The sequence below is a fragment of the Homo sapiens genome, chromosome X (assembly GCF_000001405.40).
Source record: "Homo sapiens chromosome X, GRCh38.p14 Primary Assembly".
In the NCBI taxonomy this organism is placed as follows: Eukaryota; Metazoa; Chordata; class Mammalia; order Primates; family Hominidae; genus Homo; species Homo sapiens.
The window spans coordinates 51,623,806-51,642,423 of record NC_000023.11 but is presented as its reverse complement, the minus strand read 5'-3'; the positions used below and the strand labels follow the sequence as shown (position 1 = coordinate 51,642,423).

General features: G+C 39.0%; 1 long non-coding RNA gene across 1 annotated transcript; it reads right to left on the bottom strand.

The window, feature by feature from the left end:
• Positions 1-469: 469 nt before the first annotated feature.
• On the bottom strand, positions 470-12,965 carry LOC105373205 (uncharacterized). The gene is made up of 3 exons (XR_938381.2): positions 12,858-12,965; positions 4,137-4,246; positions 470-617 (listed from the first exon to the last, which is right to left on the bottom strand). It is a non-coding gene; the product is annotated as an uncharacterized LOC105373205 (long non-coding RNA).
• Positions 12,966-18,618: the final 5,653 nt, after the last annotated feature.

The window sequence follows — 18,618 nt, the reverse complement described above, 5'->3', positions numbered from 1 at the left end:
GGCAGATGATAATAATGTATGGGCAGGCAGAGCCACGGGCCAAGCCTGGCTTTTCTTGAAAGATGGGTTTTGAGACCTTGTCATGGACAAGTTCTGAACCCTTGCTACAGACTGGAGCTGCTGCAGCTGGTGTTCCATTACTCTTGGAGGAATGAGACCCTATGGCCCAACCCTAATCCTCATGCTTTTCCTAGGAAAGAATACACAGGGACCCAAACAGACCCGCCACAGGTTAGCAGAATCTTTATTTATTTATTTATTTATTGAGATGGAGTTTTGTTCTTGTTGCCCAGGCTGGAGTGCAGTGGCGTGATCTCGGCTCAGTGCAACCTCCGCCTCCTGGGTTCAAGCTATTCTCCTGCCTCAGCCTCTCGAGTAGCTGGGATTACAGTTGTCTGCCACCACGCCCCGGGGTAATTTTTTGTATTTTTAGCAGAGTCGGGGTTTCACCATGTTGGCCAGGCTGGTCTTGAACTCCTGACCTCAGGCGATCCACTCACCTCGGTCTCCCAAAGTGCTGGGATTACAGGCGCGACCCACCGCGTCCAGCCGCGGAGTCTTTAATACTGTTCTTTGTATAAGCCATCACCGATTTGCAGAGGAAGCAACCAGGACTCCTGGGGGATGATGAAGAAAAGGATTGTTACCATTGTTATAATTTCCTGTGTTGTCCTTTCATCTAAGGCACAAAACTGTTTTCTCTCTTGGGTGGCCTATACTAAGAGAGCTTATAAAAATGCGCTGTAAATTATTCATGTTAGCCCTAACAGGTTACGTTCTATTAGCTGGTAACAGTAATGATATTGCGCCCTCCAGTGGAACTTCGTAGGAACAAACATAGCTCTGTGTAGTTTTGAATCTTTTGCGGACACCAAAAGGCACGGATGAGAATCTGGGAGGAGGATCAGAAGTCAGCAGGCAGCGGATTCTTTTCTCCATATGGCACAGGAAGAAAGTCCTTGGCATCTGGTTGATATCTCACTTATGATACTTTCATCTATAGTAACAGTTTCAGATACCATATCCAGGCACAATAGGGTCCAACAGAATAAGAGTCGCTGGTTTTCCCTTTAGTGCAGTTTTTTTGTTTTTGTTTTTGTTTTTAAGAATAAGAAAACATTTCCCATAAACATCTTGCCCTCACAGTCTGTTCTCGCTTACCCTTCCCTAATAGTGAATGCGATCTTGATTCATTCAGGCTAATTAATCTTATCCTCTATCATTTTCCATTCCAGGAAAACGTAAATCCTTTTCATCCGTTTTAGCCTGACTTGAATTAATAGAAAAAGGATGTTGATGAATTACTCCTATATACCCCAGTATTCCCATACTAACTCCCTGATTTCACCTCTCAGATCTGTGGGCCTCACACTTCTGTGCAGTGGGGATCTGGGGCTTCAGGGCTGAGCAAGGCAAGCATGAACCCTGATTTCAGAGAATTCACAGTCTGCTGGGGGAGGCAGACAAGTAAATAATCTTCGACTGTGATGAATATGTTGTGTGACAGGCAGAATTCAGTGGGCTCTGACGGCATGTGGCAGGAAACTATAATCTTGTTTAGGGGGTACAGTCTCCCCAAGTGACTGACCAGTAAGTTCAGATGTGAAAAGTGAGTGGCAGTTAACTGAGTTGAAGGTGTGTGAAGAGTTGTCCAGACAGAGGAACAGCATGCATGATGAGGTCCTGTGGGCCAGATACAGCCTGGGGCATTCAAGGAACAGGTTTCTTACCTGGCCCCTGTAGCAGATCGCAAAGGATATGGGTTTACGTGTCTCACCCCACTTCAAAACTATTAGGGCACCATGTGCTTAGTTTAAGTTAAAGATCACAGGCACAGTGTCAGGCCACCTGGGTTCAAATCCCACCACACCCCTTTCTGGCAACATGACCTTCAACACATTATCTGAGATGCCTCAGCAAGTGCTTCTGCTTCTTCTATTGTGGAATTAGGAAAATAATATCAACTATCTCATGTCAGAGGATACCTCATAATGGTCTTGTAAGGACTAAGATAATTCATTTTAGGCATTTAAAACAGTGCCAAGTATATTATAAGTACTCAAAGATGGTGATGTTATTATTTGAATTTATGTGTACATAGGTTTGGAGCTAATTGGTTTGAAATCTGTGTTCAAAAGTTTCAGACATTACTGTTTACTTGGCATAGCATCACCAAGTTGGAATTCATTGTTCCAGCATGAAAATTACCTGAAACTCCTCTCTCTCTCTCTCTCTCTCTCTCTGTGTGTGTGTGTGTGTGTGTGTATACACATATGCTCCCATCCAGGCAGTCTGTGATGTATGATTAGAAAAAAAATTCTGAACTTTCTATGTTGACGTGACTTCAAACATAGAAATGTTACAAGGGGCCGGGCGCGGTGGCTCACACCTGCAATCCCAGCACTTTGGGAGGCCGAGGCGAGTGGATCACAAGGTCAGGAGTTCAAAACCAGCCTGGCCAACATGGTGAAACCCCATCTCTACTCAAAATACAAAAGTTAGCCGGGCATGGTGTCACACACCTGTAATCCCAGCTACTCCAGAGGCTGAGGCAGGAGAATGGCTTGAACCCAGGAGGCAGAGGTTGTGTTGAGCTGAGATCGCGCCACTGCACTCCAGGCTGGGTGATAGAGTGAGACTCCATCTCAAAATAGAAAAAGAAAAAGAAAAAAGAAATGTTACAAGGATAGTACAAGAAATTCACATTTACCCTTTACTCCTTCACTCAAATTCCTTAGTTGTTAACATTTTACCATCTGATTTATCATGTTATCTCTCCCTTTCTTGCTCCCTCTCTCTCTATACACACATATATACACACAAATAAGCACACATGTAACTTTTTTTTCTGAACCATTTGAGAATAAGTTGCAGACTTTATGTCTTACTCCTAAATAATTCATTATGGTTCCTAAGAATAAATATAGTTATCAAAATAAGAAAATTTGCATTGATGACAATATCTAGGTTACAGAGTTTAAATGAACTTCACCAATTTTTCTAATAATGCCTTTTATAGGATTTTTCTCCTAATGAAAGGTCCATTTCAGCATCATGCCTTGTAGTTTGGGCTACATCACGCCTGCTAGTTCGGGCTAATGATATTGTAGGGTGTCCTTCATTTGGGGCTTAGCTGATTGTTTTCTCATGATTCTATGTAAGTTAGACATATATGGCAGGAGCGCCACACGTCTTTCTCGTTACATCATAAAGGCCAGCATATGATATGGATTGTCCCAATATTGATTCTGGCAACCTGATCACGTGGTTAAAGTGGTGTCTGCCAGCTTACTCCAATGCAAATTATTTTTCCTTTGTAATTATTACCTGTTTTGTGGGAGAGGTGTTGAGAACGTGTAACTATCCCATTAATCACAAAGCTTCCATACACTAATTTTAGTATTCATTAATGACTCTTGTCCTAGACAATTATTACATGATAGTTATAAAATGGTGTTTTTCTAACAGCATCATTTCTTCTACATTTATTGGATGGGATTCTACTGTAACGAAGAGCTTTTCCTTTATTTACTTTTAGTACAGATTAATGGATTCTTATTTTATTCAATTTTTTTATAACTCATTGTTATAATTATTTATTCTAAAGCTCAAATTTCCTAGGTTTAAGCAATGTGAGCCCCATTCAAGCTGGTTCTATATCCTTTTGACAAGTCTATGTAATTTTTTGAGTGCTGCCTTACTTTCTGTCCCGTTAAGATGTTCCACATTAACCTATGCTTTCCATACTTTATCCCTGGAATCAATGGTTTGTCCAAGGACCCCTGGCTCCTTTCATTAAGAAATGATACTTAGAAACAATTATCTGGGTGTTAGATATTCTCATTGCAACTGAGATAAACAACACATTTTTATTATGTTCTCTGTTTCTTGCCTTACTATGTCCTGAAACTTTAAGTGTTTGAATAAAAATCTACTAGCTCCAGTATAATACTTAGAGAACTAGTAGAAGCTTGGTTTCCAATTTTTCTGGAGTGAGTAGAGCAGATCCTGGACAATTGGCTAAAATGGAAGGCAAAAAGAAGCACCTTCTTTCTTGTAGGTGAGTAGAGCAGATCCTGGACAACGGTCTAAAAACAAATACCTAAAATGCTTTAGATATTTGCTGTATGACTTACCACTGATTTCTGCTTGTATTTCAGGAGCAACTTTCCTTTGAGGGTAAGGGCTTATTTTGTCTAAAAAGCAACTTTTCATCACCTTTCTTAGCTGGAACCAGAAATGTAACCTAGAGAGAAAAAAAATAAAGATATTTAGATTGTAGTATGTCAAAACTTAGTGGTTTTAGTCTGGCTCTGGGACAATGGCATAGGCTTACTTTTCCCTGTTCCTTCCCTCTAAATACAACTAAATATCTTGAAAATAATTTAACAGATTCTCAAATATAGGAAGAAGGTAGACTGGAAAGGAGCCTCAGGACTTGAAGAAGACACCATAATGAGCTCCCCAGGTTTTCTTTATATCACTCGTGTATCCCAAACTGGGTGTCTGGGAGGTGTGCAACCCAGAAACTGCCAATAGGGTAGACCAAAAATAGATAAACAAATAAAGAAATGCAAAAGAAAAGCCTGCTTTCTCTGAACAAAGGTTCAGGAAAGGGAAAGCTTAGCAGGAACTTAGCAGGGAGATTCATATCCAGTGGCAGCAGCTGGCTGATCTGCCGGGAGTAGCTGCACCAGCAAAGCTGCAGGAGAGAAGACCAATCCATCCCCCACACCTACACCAGCCAGCAGCAATGACAGGATCAGACCTACCCACAGCAGTAACAGGGGGACCCAGGTAGGTTAACATACTCTCTGCCCCATACCAGGAGGCCAGAGATGAGCCTTTCTACCTGAAATGCTAATGCCAGCTGGCCCGGTGTCTTCCAGCACTCCACCCAACTGCAGAGGGCAGCCTAAGTCCAGTGTCTCCTGATCTTCTACCCATTGGTAGACCGCTACCTACATCCAGTGGGTCCTGGCCCTATACCGAATGGCTTAAGACAATCCAGGCCTGTTGTCTCCTGGCTCTTTACCCAGTGGCAGAAGGTGAATTGGGCTGGGGTCTCCTAACCTTCCACCCAGACTCATGGCTCCTGCTCCTCCACACAATGGCGGAAGGCAGCCCACTCCTGTCTGCACTGGCAGAGATAAAGTGGAAAGTTCGCTGGCTATGGGGGGCTGGAAAAAAAATCAGGGGAAACACTTTCTGCACCATTGCTTTGGATTCCCCATAACTCACTTTATGATACTTGGAAGGCAAAAGGAAGCACCTTCTTTTTTCCAGGTGGTACCAGCAGGAACTTAAGCAGAGACAGAAGAGTAATGAAAAAGTGAAGAAAGCTTAAGAGATACATAGAGCTATTGGGTACCAGCCTCAACACCACCAGTAGGGTACCCAAAGTCTGGTGGCGACAAAGGAATGATAAGAGACAGGTTAAGAGTTCATAAAGGTGGGAGCCAGGGGGCCAGTTGCAAAATGGAGGCTGCAAAAGGCCCAGAGTTCTAGTCTCCACACTATTTATTGAGTATGATCACTTAAATCTAAGAAGCAGATGTTCAGGGCGAAACAGTGAAAGGGAGGCAGTGCGTCATAGGCGTAATCTATAGCAATAGCGGTTTAAATGAATCTCCTTTGTGCTCAAACAGCATATCTTTAACTTATCAGAGAGTGGCTAGTGGGAGCGGCCTTAACTAGGAGCCTGCACATCTGGCCACATTCCAATGCTTCAAAGGAGTGTCTTTCTCCTTGAACACAATGTTTATGGATAAGAGACCAAGTCTCGCTCAGAGCATGGGAACATAATGGCGATAAGAAGGCTTTCCTCCTCAGAGGCCTCTTGTGGCTTTCCACAACTTATTGTTCCATGTTTTTATGGCCAGTTTATACAGGCACCCCATAAGACTTTTTCCCAACATAGAGCACCATCAAGCAATCCAATATATGACTTATGGGAGTTCCAGAAGAAAATTATCTCAACAAATAAAGGCTGTATATGAAAAGCTCAGAGCTAACATCATACTTAATGGTGAAAAAGTGAAGGCTTTTCCTCTAAGATCAGGGACAAGACAAGGATGCCCCTTTCACCACTTCTATTCATCATAGTACCAGCAGTCCTATTCAGAACAATTAATCAAAAAATAATAATAATAATTCAAGGGAGCTAAATCAGAAAGTAAAAAGTAAAATTGTCCCTTTTGCAGGTAATATGATCTTATATTTAGAAAACCCTAAAGATTCCTCTAAAAATTGTTAGAATAAATGTATTCAATAAAATTGCAGGATACAAATCAACATATAAAAATCAATTGCATTTCTATACACTAATAACGAATTATCTAAAAAGGAAACTAGGAAAACAAACTCATTTACAAGAACACCAAAAAGAATAAAATACATAGATAAAAACTTACTGAAGGAGGTGAAAGACTTGTATACAGAAAATTACAAAATATTGATGAAGAAAATTAAACAAGAAACAAGCAAATGGAAGTGTTCATGGATCTGAAGACTTAATAGTGTTAAAATATCCCTAATACCCAGAGTGATCTACAGATTCATTGTAAACCTATCAAAATCCTAATGGCATGTTTGTTTACGGGAATAGAAAAAATAATTCTAAACTTCGTCTGGAACCACAGAAGACCATAAATACCCAAATCAATCTGGAGAAGGAAAAACAAAATTGATTTCATAGTGTACTATAAAGCTACAGTAATCAAAATAGTATGGTACTGGCATAAAAACAGACATATAGGTCAGATGTGGACGCTCATGCCTGTAATCCCAGCACTTTGGGAGGCTAAGGTGGGGCGATCACTTGAGCCCACGAGTTCGAGACCAGCCTAGGCAACATAGGGAGACCCCATCTTTACAAAAAGTAAAAAAATTAGCCAGGTGTGGTGGCATGCACCTTTGGTCCCAGCTACCCTGGAGGCTGAGGTGGGAGGATAGCTTGAGCTTGGGAGGTGGAGACTGTAGTGAGCTGTGACTGTGCCACTGCACTTTAGTCTGGGCATCAGAGTGAGACCCTGTCTCAAAAATAAAACAAAACAAAATGAAACCCAAAACCAGACATATAAAAAACAGACAAATTAGCCAAAGGGACACAATAGAGACCCCGAAAATAATACCAGACTTATATGGTCAAGTGATCTTCAACAACGGTGCCAGGAATACACAATGGGAAAATGACGGTCTCATCAAAAAACAGTATTAGGAAAACTAGCTATCCACATGCAAAAGAATGAAATTGGATCTTATCTCACAATATGTACAAAAATAAACTCAAAATGAATTAAAGACTTAAACGTAAGACCCCAAACTTTAAGACTTCTAGAAGAAGTAGAAATCATAGCCAAAAAAAAAAAAAAAACCCAGGAAACAATCAACAGAGTGAAAAGGCAACCATAAAGGAATCAATCATCAAATCAATTTTTTAAAACAGGTATATCTCTACATATGTAGAAATTAACACACTACTAAGTAATAAATGGGTCAAAGAGAAGTCTCAAAATTAAAATTAAAATACATACAACTGATGAGAATAAAAGACAACATATCAATATATGTAGGATGCAACTAAAGAAATGCTGAGAAAATTTACAGCAGTGAATGAGAAAATGTTTTTAAAAATAACCTAAGGTCTCACATCAAGAAAGTAGAAAAACAAGAGAAAACTAAAATTTAAAATATGGACAGAAGGAAAGGAATAATAAAGACAAGAACACCGGCCAGGGGTGATGACTCACACCTGTAATCCCAGCACTTTGGGAAGCCAAGGCGGGTAGATCACCTGAGGTCAGGAATTCAAGACCAGCCTTGCAAACATGGTGAAACGCCGTCTCTACCAAAAATACAAAAATTAGCTGGGCATGGTGGTGAGCGCCTGTAATCCCAGCTACTTGGGAAACTGAGGCGGGAGAATCACTTGAACCTGGGAGGCAGAGGTTGCAGTGAGCCGAGATTACACCCACTGCACTCCAACCTGGGTGACAGAGGGAGATTCTGTCTCAAAAAAAAAAAATAATAATTAAAAAAGAAGACAAGAACACAAATTAATGAAATTGAAAACATGACAATAATAGAGAAAATCAATGAAACAAAAAGTTGGTTCTTCAAAAAAAAAAATCACCAACATTGATAAACCTTTAGCAGACTGAACGAAAGAAGAAAAAAATACACAAATCAACAGTATCAGTAATTAAATAGGAATATCACTACAGATCATGAAAATATTAAAATAATCAGAGTAGGCCAGGCACAGTGGCTCATGCCTGTAATCCCAGCACTTTGGGAGGCCGAGGAGGGCAGATCACCTGAGGTCGGGAGTTCGAGACCAGCCTGACCAACATGGAGAAACCCCGTCTCTACTAAAAATACAAAATTAGCCAGGCGTGGTGGCGCATGCCTGTAATCCCAGCTACTGGGAAGGCTGAGACAGCAGAATCGCTTGAACCCGGGAGGCGGGGGTTGCGTTGAGCTGAGATCGCGTCGTTGCACTCCAGTCTGGGCAACAAGAGTGAAACTCCGTCTCAATAAATAAATAAATAAATAAATAAATAAATAAATAAATAATAAAAAAAAATGACTAGAGTAACCACTTTGAAAACTATACAAAGAGTATAATTAATGGATATTATGATAATTAAATAATTTATGACAAATTCCTTGAAAAACACAAATTACCAACACTCACCAGTATGCAATTGATCATCTGAAGGGCCCTAACAATAAAAAAGAAGTAACTTTTACTATAAAAGCTCCTGATAAAAAAAAAATCTCCAAAGCCAGATTGCTTCAATTTCTTATAATAAATATTCACTGGAACATTATGAATCTTTAAAGGAAGAACTAATACCAATTTTACACAATTTCCTGGAGAAAACAGAAAAGGAAGAAAAGCTCCCAACACATTTTATGAAGCCAGTATTACCCTGATACTAAAACCATACAAAGTCAATGCGAAGAGAAAACTGTAGAGTAATATCTCTCATGAATTGAGATGCAAAGGTCCTCAACAAACACTAACCAAATGAACCCAAAAATATAAAAAAATTATGCCTATGATAAAGTGGGATTTATTCCAGGGTTTCGAGGCTCCTGGATCAACATTCAAAAGTCAGTCAGTGTAATTCAACACATCAAAGAGCGGAAAAAGGAAAATCCTATCAATAGTTACAGAGAGTTTGTCAAAAGCCCCAAATTCCAAAACTTTATAAAGAATATCTACAAGAAAACTGCTAATATACTTAATGATAAAGACTAAATGTTTTCCCCTAAGATTGGGAACAGGGCAAGGATTTATGATCTCACCACTTTTACTCAACATAATACCAGGTCCAGTTGGTGCAATAAAGCAAGATTTTTAAAAAGTTATACAAATTGGGGGAAAAATTAAATTATCTCTATTTGCAGATGACATGATTGTCTATGTATAAATTTCCAAGGAGTCTACCAAAAAGTCTTAGTATTAATACAAGAGAAAAATTCTAGTACTTAGTGTAAGTGAGTTTAGCCATGTCACAGGATAAAAGATCGACACATTAAAATTAATCCTATTTCTTTATAGTAATAGTGAACATGAGGAAAGCAAATTAAAAACAGTACCATTCACAATTACTGCAAAGAAAACAAGCTACTTAGTGCTATGGACTGAATTGTGTCCTCTCCCCACCAAATTTATCTGTTGAGGCCTTAACCCCCAATGTAAATATATTTAGAGATGAGGACTTTAGGGGATAATTAAGGTTAACTGAGTCATAATGATGGGTTTCTAATTTGATAGGATTAGTGGATTTATAGGAATAGGAAGGAATCTCTCTCTCTTTCTCTTTCTCTCACTCTCTTTCCCTGCTTTTCTCTGAGAAAGGTCATCTGAGCACAGAAAGAGAGCCCTCACCAGAACCTGACCATGCTGACACCATGATCTCTGATTTCCAGTCTCTAGAACTGTGAGAAAACAAATTTATATTGTTTAAGCCACCCAGGCTATGGGATTTTGTTATGGCAGCCCAAGTAGACTAAGAAACATAGGTATGAATTTAACAAAACATGAACAGTATTTGTGTGCTGAACACTATTACAATATAGTGATGAAAACAATCAAAGAAGAAGTAAATAAATGGTGAAGTACACTGTGTTAGTTGATTGGAAGGCTCAGTACAGTAAAGGCGTCAATTCTCCACAAACTGATCTATAGGTTTAATGTAGTTCCTATCTAAATCCCAGCAAAGTTCTTGCAGACATAGACAAGCTTATTCTAAAATTTGTATGGAAAGACACAGGTCCTAGAATAGCTTAAATAATCTTGAAAAACAACAAAAATTTGAGGAATTACCTATCTGATAATAAGGCTGTAGTCAAGACAGTGTGGTATTGGGGCAGGTATGGCTGCACAGATCAATGAAACACAATAGAGAATCCAGAAATAGACAGACACAAATATGCTCAACTGATTTTTGACAATGGTGGAAGAGCAATTCAGTGGAGAAAGGATAGCTTTTTCAATAAAATGGTGCTAAGGAAATTGGACATTCCTATGGGGAAAAAAACCAGAAAGTAAGAAAATAAAGGCTTGATCTAAACCTAACACCTTATATAAAAATTAGTTGAAAGTGGGCTGGGTGCAGTGGCTCATGCCTGTAATCCCAGCAATTTGAGAGGCTGAGGCGGGTGGATCACTTGAGCTCAGGAGTTTGAGACCAGCCTAGGCGATACGGTGAAACCCCATCTCTATAAAAAATACAAAAATTAGCAGGGCATGGTAGGGCGCATCTGTAATCCCAGCTACTCGGGTGGCTGAGGTGGGAGAATCATTTGAGCCCCAGAAGGCCGAGGTTGCAGTGAGCAGAGATTGGGCGACTGCCCTCCAGTCTGGGTGACAGAGCCAGACCCTGTCTCAAAAAAGTAATAATAATGATAATTAACTGAAAGTGAATCACATTAAAACTTTGAGAAAAAAAAAACATGAGAAAATCTGTGTGATTCAGAACCAAAAAGTTCTCAGACCATTGTGAAGAGGATGAAAAAATAAATACAGACTAAAAGAAAATATTTACAAGCCATATATCTAACAAAGAAATACTATTCAGAATACAAATAACTCTTAAACTCAACAGTAAAAATGTGAAATAAACAAATAAAAGCCAACAAAAACCCAATTAGAAAATGGGCAAAGACATACGGCTGCACAGATGGCATATAAATACTTGAAAAGATGCCCAACACCATTAGCAATGAGAGAGATGCAAATTAAAATCATAATGAGATATCACTACATACGTATCAGAATTGCTAAAATAAAAATCAGTGACAACACAAAATGCTGGGGAGGATATGGAGACATTGGATCACTCGTGCATTGCTGGTGAGAATGTATAATTGTACAGTCACTCTGAAAAATAGTTTGGCAGTTTCTTATAAAACAAGATATGCAATTATTATATGCTCTAGCAATCGCGTTCTTCATCTTAGCAAAATGAAGACTTATGTTCACACAGAAACCTGTACACAAATGTCTGTGGAATATTTATTTGTCATAGCTAAAAATCTGGGAGATATCCTTAAACAGGTAAATGTTTAAGCAAATTATAGTACACACACACCACTCAACAATAAAAAAGAATGAACTATCAATACACTCAACAACTTGGATGATACTCAGAGTATAATTCTGAGAGAAAAAAGCCAATTCAAAACAGTTACTTACTGTTTGATTTCATTTATATAAAATTTTGGAAATGACAAAATATTGGAAATGTTGGACAGATTTGTGGTACCGGTGTTACTGATTGTAATGATGGGACATGAACCTATAAAACCTACATATATATATATATATATATATAAAATATATATATAATATATATATATTATATATATATAAAATATATATATATATATGCACACATACATGCAATACACTTATCTCTATATCTGTATGTGTGTATTTGTTCTATATCACATATATATCACATATATATGTTTCACAGAACAAATACACACATACAGATGAATACATTTAAAACTGGGGAAATTCGAACAAAATTGGTCGATTTTATCAATAAAAATATACAAATATACAAGTTGTCTTACTATAGTTTGGCAAAATGGTTCTATTGGAGGAAACTGGATAAAGGGTACAAGAGATCTCTCTGTATTATATATTACAACAGTATGCATGTCTACAACTATTCAATAAAAATTTTGATAATAAATAATGTGTCATGATGTGCCCAGGTATGGTTCTAAATATCATACTCTGCTAAAAGGAACCGGAGGTCTTTGGAGAAATATGTGATTCCAGGGATCAGATGGCAAAAGTAAAAATTACAAAGAGATACTGGGGCATCTAGTTGTTCCAGGAAACAAGGAAGTGCTCAAAGATTAATGGAGAAATGCAAAAGGATACAGGAACCAGTTTGAAAGAAATCCCATGGGCCAAAATTGGGATAATTCGATTACTTACTTGATGATTGTAAATTATTAAATGAATAAAAATCCGTGAATCCAAAGTTATACCCAGAGAAAGAGAGAGAAAGATAGAAAAAGGGAGAATAATGTTTCATAATTGGAGATTTCTATTACTCCAACTCTTTATTCCGCAAAATGATAATTAAAGTAAAAGAATAAAGCATGTATCCTGCCTTTAAGGGAGAAAAAATAGTCCATCCACAGTTGATGAGAAAAAGCTCGTCTTTATGGGTGAATACCAGCTAATAAAAATAGAAGGGAATTTAGAATTAGAAAAGTATCATTTTGTAACGTAACAACAGTGAAATAATTGGTTCAGTCAAAGATTACTGACAGATTCTAAAACCACAAGGAAAAAAGCTGTAAAGGAACAAGATACTTACACTGTGTCAAAATAATATCCGTCAGATTGAGGTGGGAGACCAACAGGACTTGTTTTCTGGTCACAACCCTGCGGACCAAAACAGGATCTGCTCCAGACGGGATGAAGCAAAGAAACTAGCAGGAACCAGTAGATGGTGATGAGCGCAATCCCTAGCCGCCGTCACTACTCATTAGCATAAGACCCTCCCACCAGTGCCATCACAGTTTACGCTTGCCATGACAACAATCAAGAAGTTATCACCTCTTCCCTAGAAAGTTTTTTTTAAAATAAGTATTCTAGAGTGTTTTATTAATAATAGTGAGGTTTTTTTTAGTTATACTTTAAGTTCTAGGGTACATGTGCACAACATGCAGGTTTGTTACATATGTATGCATGTGCCATGTTGGTGTGCTGCACCCATTAACTCGTCATTTACATTAGGTATATCTCCTAATGCTATCCCTCCCCCCTCCCCCCACCCTACGAGAGGTCCCGGTGTGTGATGTTCCCTTTCCTGTGTCCAAGTGCTCTCATTGTTCAGTTCCCACCTATGAGAACATGCGGTGATTGGTTTTTTGTCCTTGCGATAGTTTGCTGAGAATGATGGTTTCCAACTTCATCCATGTCCCTACAAAGGACATGAACTCATCATTTTTTATGGCTGCATAGTATTCCATGGTGTATATATGCCACATTTTCTTAATCCAGTCCATCATTGATGGATATTTGGGTTGGTTCCAGGTCTTTGCTATTGTGAATAGTGCTGCAATAAATATACGTGTGCATGTGTCTTTATAGCAGCATGATTTATAGTCCTTTGGGTATATACCCAGTAATGGCATGGCTGGGTCAAATGGTATTTCTAGTTCTAGATCCTTGAGGAATCACCACACTGTCTTCCACAATGGTTGAACTAGTTTCCAGTCCCACCAACCATGTAAAATTTTTCCTATTTCTCCACATCCTCTCCAGCACTTGTTGTTTCCTGAATTTCTAATGATCACCATTCTAACTGGTGTGAGATGGTACCTCATTGTGGTTTTGATTTGCATTTCTCTGATGGCCAGTGATGATGAGCATTTTTTCATGTGTCTTTTGGCTGCATAAACATCTTCTTTTGAGAAGTGTCTGTTCATATCCTTTGCCCACTTTTTGATGGGGTTGTTTGTTTTTTTCTTGTAAATTCGATGGAGTTCATTGTAGATTCTGGATATTAGCCCTTTGTCAGATGAGTAGATTGCAAAAATTTTCTCCCATTCTGTAGGGTGCCTGTTCACTCTGATGATGGTTTCTTTTGCTGTGCAGAAGCTCTTTAGTTTAATTAGATCCCATTTGTCAATTTGGGCTTTTGTTGCCATTGCTCTTGGTGTTTTAGACATGAAGTCCTTGCCCATGCCTATGTCCTGAATGGTATTGCCTAAGTTTTCTTCTAGGGTTTTTATGGTTTTAGGTCTAACATTTAAGTCTTTAATCCATCTTGAATTAACTTTTGTATAAGGTGTAAGGAAGGGATCCAGTTTCAGCTTTCTACATATGGCTAGCCAGTTTTCCCAGCACCATTTATTAAATAGGGAATCATTTCCCCATTGCTTGTTTTTGTCAGGTTTGTCAAAGATCAGATGGTTGTAGATGTGTGGTATTATTTCTGAGGGCTCTGTTCTGTTCCATTGATCTATATCTCTGTTTTGGTACCAGTACCATGCTGTTTTGGTTACTGTAGCCTTGTAGTATAGTTTGAAGTCAGGTAGCGTGATGCCTCCAGTTTTGTTCTTTTAGCTTAGGATCGACTTGGCAATGCGTGCTCTTTTTTGGTTCCATATGAACTTGAAAGTAGTTTTTTCCAATTCTGTGAAGAAAGTCATTGGTAGCTTGATGGGGATGGCATTGAATCTATAAATTACCTTGGGAAGTACAGCCATTTTCACAATACTGATTCTTCCTACCCATGAGCATGGAATGGTCTTCCATTTGTTTGTGTCCGCTTTTATTTCGTTGAGCTGTGGTTTGTAGTTCTCCTTGAAGAGGTCCTTCAGATCCATTGTAAGTGGGATTCCTAGGTATTTTATTCTCTTTGAAGCAATTGTGAATGGGAGTTCACTCATGATTTGGCTCTCTGTTTGACTGTTATGTTGTATAAGAATGCTCGTGATTTTTGTACATTGATTTTGTATCCTGAGACTTTGCTAAAGTTGCTTATCAGCTTAAAGAGATTTTGGGCTGAGATGATGGGGTTTTGTAAATATACAATCTTGCCATCTGCAAACAGGGACAATTTGACTTCCTCTTTTCCTAATTGAATACCCTTTATTTCTTTCTCCTGCCAGATTGCCCTGGCCAGAACTTCCAACACTATGTTGAATAGGAGTGGTGAGAGAGGGCATCTTTGTCTTGTGCCGGTTTTCAAAGGGAATGCTTCCAGTTTTTGCCCATTCGGTATGATATTGGCTGTGGGTTTGTCATAGATAGCTCTTATTATTTTGAGATACGTCCCATCAATACCTAATTTATTGAGAGTTTTTAGCATGAAGGGTTGTTGAATTTTGTCAAAGGCCTTTTCTGCATCTATTGAGATAATCATGTGGTTTTTGTCTTTGGTTCTGTATATATGTTGGATTACATTTATTGATTTGCGTATGTTGAACCAGACTTGCATCCCAGGGATGAAGCCCATTTGATCATGGTGGATTAGCTTTTTGATGTGCTGCTGGATTCGGTTTGCCAGTATTTTATTGAGGATTTTTGCATCGATGTTAATCAAGGATATTGGTCTAAAATTCTCTTTTTTGGTTGTTTCTCTGCCAGGCTTTGGTATCAGGATGATGCTGGCCTCATAAAATGAGTTAGGGAGGATTCCCTCTTTTTCTATTGACTGGAATAGTTTCAGAAGGAATGGTAAGAGCTCCTCTTTGTACCTCTGGTAGAATTTGGCTGTGAATCAATCTGGTCCTGGACTTTTTTTGGTTGGTAAGCTATTAATTATTGCCTCAATTTCAGCTCCTGTTATTGGTCTATTCAGAGATTCAACTTCTTCCTGGTTTAGTCTTGGGAGGATGTATGTGTCATGGAATTTATCCATTTCTTCTAGATTGTCTAGTTTATTTGCATAGAGGTGTTTATAGTATTCTCTGATGGTAGTTTGTATTTCTGTTGGATCGGTGGTGATATCCCCTTTATCATTTTTTATTGCATCTATTTGGTTCTTCTCTCTTTTCTTCTTTATCAGTCTTGCTAACGGTCTATCAGTTTTGTTGATCCTTTCAAAAAACCAGCTGCTGGATTCATTGATTTTTTGAAAGTTTTTTTGTGTCTGTATCTCCTTCAGTTCTGCTCTGATCTTAGTTATTTCTTGCCTTCTGCTAGCATTTGAATGTGTTTGCTCTTGCTTCTCTAGTTCTTTTAATTGTGATGCTAGGGTGTCAATTTTAGATCTTTCCTGCTTTCTCTTGTGGGCATTTAGTGCTATAAATTTCCCTCTACACACTGCTTTAAATGTGTCCCAGAGATTCTGGTATGTTGTGTCTTTGTTCTCATTGGTTTCAAGGAACATCTTTATTTCTGCCTTCATTTCGTTATGTACCTAGTAGTCATTCAGGAGCAGGTTCTTCAGTTTCCATGTAGTTGAGCGGTTTTGAGTGAGTTTCTTACTTCTGAGTTCTAGTTTCATTGCACTGTAGACTGAGAGACAGTTTGTTATAATTTCTGTTCTTTTACATTTGCTGAGGAGTGCTTTACTTCCAACTATGTGGTCAGTTTTGGAATAAGTGCAATGTGGTGCTGGGAAGAATGTATATTCTGTTGATTTGGGGTGGAGAGTTCTGTAGATGTCTATTAGGTCCGCTTGGTGCAGAGCCGAGTTCAATTTCTGGATATCCTTGTTAACTTTCTGTCTCATTGATCTGTCTAATTTTGACAGTGGGGTGTTAAAGTCTCCCATTATTATTGTGTGGGCGTCTAAGTCTCTTTGTAGGTCTCTAAGGACTTGCTTTATGAATCTGGGTGCTCCTGTATTGGGTGCATATATATTTAGGATAGTTAGCTCCTCTTGTTGAATTGATGGCCTTCTTTGTCTCTTTTGATCTTTGTTGGTTGAAAGTCTGTTTTATCAGAGACTAGGATTGCAACCCCTGCCTTTTTTTGTTTTCCATTTGCTTGGTAGATCTTCCTCCATCCCTTTATTTTGAGCCTATGTGTGTCTCTGCATGTGAGATTGGTCTCCTGAATACTGTACCCTGATGGGTCCTGACTCTTTATCCAATTTGCCAGTCTGTGTCTTTTAATTGGAGCATTTAGTCCATTTACATTTAAGGTTTATATTGTTATGTGTGAATTTGATCCTGTCATTTTGATTTTAGCTGGTTATTTTGCTCGTTAGTTGGTGCAGTTTCTTCCTAGCCTTGATGGTCTTTACAATTTGGCATGTTTTTGCAGTGGCTGGTACCAGTTGTTCCTTTCCATGTTTAGTGCTTCCTTCAGGAGCTCTTGTAGGGAAGGCCTGGTGGTGATAAAATCTCTCAGCATTTGCTTGTCTGTAAAGTATTTTATTTCTCCTTCACTTATGAAGCTTACTTTGGCTGGATATGAAATTCTGGGTTGAAAATTATTTTCTTTAAGAATGTTGACTATTTGCCCCCACTCTCTTCTGGCTTGTGGAGTTTCTGCTGAGAGATCTGCTGTTAGTCTGATGGGCTTCCCTTTGAGGGTATCCCGACCTTTCTCTCTGGCTGCCCTTAACATTTTTTCCTCATTTCTACTTTGGTGAATCTGGCAATTATGTGTCTTGGAGTTGCTCTTCTCGAGGAGTATCTTTGTGGTGTTCTCTGTATTTCCTGAATTTGAATGTTGGTCTGCCTTGCTAGGTTGGGGAAGTTCTCCTGGATAATATCCTGCAGAGTGTTTTCCAACTTGGTTCCATTCTCCCCGTCACTTTCAGGTACACCAATCAGACGTAGATTTGGTCTTTTCACATAGTCCCATATTTCTTGGAGGCTTTGTTCGTTTTTTTTTTTTTTTACTCTTTTTTCTCTAAACTTCTTTTCTCACTTCATGTCATTCATTTGATCTTCAATCACTGATACCCTTTCTTCCAGTTGATCAAATAGGCCACTGAAGCTTGTGCATTTGTCACATAGTTCTCGTGTCATGGTTTTCAACTCCATCAGGTCATTTAAGGACTTCTCTACACTGGTTATTCTAGTTAGCCATTCGACTAATCTTTTTTCAAGGTTTTTAGCTTCTTTGCAATGGGTTCTAACTTCCTCCTTTAGCTCAGAGAGGTTTGATCGTCTGAAGCCTTCTTGTCTCAATTCGTCAAAGTCATTCTCTGTCCAGCTTTGTTCCATTGCTGGTGAGGAGCTGCATTCCTTTCGAGGGGGAGAGGCACTCGGATTTTTAGAATTTTCAGCTTTTCTGCTCTGTTTTTTCCCCATCTTTGTGGGTTTATCTACCTTTGGTCTTTGATGATGGTGACATACAGATGGGGTTTTGGTGTGGATGTCCTTTCTGTTTGTTAGTTTTCTTTCTAACAGTCAGGACCCTCAGCTGCAGGTCTGCTGGAGTTTGCTGGAGGTCCACTCCAGACCCTGTTTGCCTGGGTGTCAGCAGTGGAGGCTGCAGAACAGTGAATATTGCTGAACAGCAAATGTTGCTGCCTGATTGTTCCTCTGGAAGCTTCATCTCAGAGGGGTTCCTGGCTGTGTGAGGTGTCAGCCTGCCCCTACTGGGTGGTACCTCCCAGGTAGGCTACTCGGGGGTCAGGGACCCACTTGAGAAGGCAGTCTGTC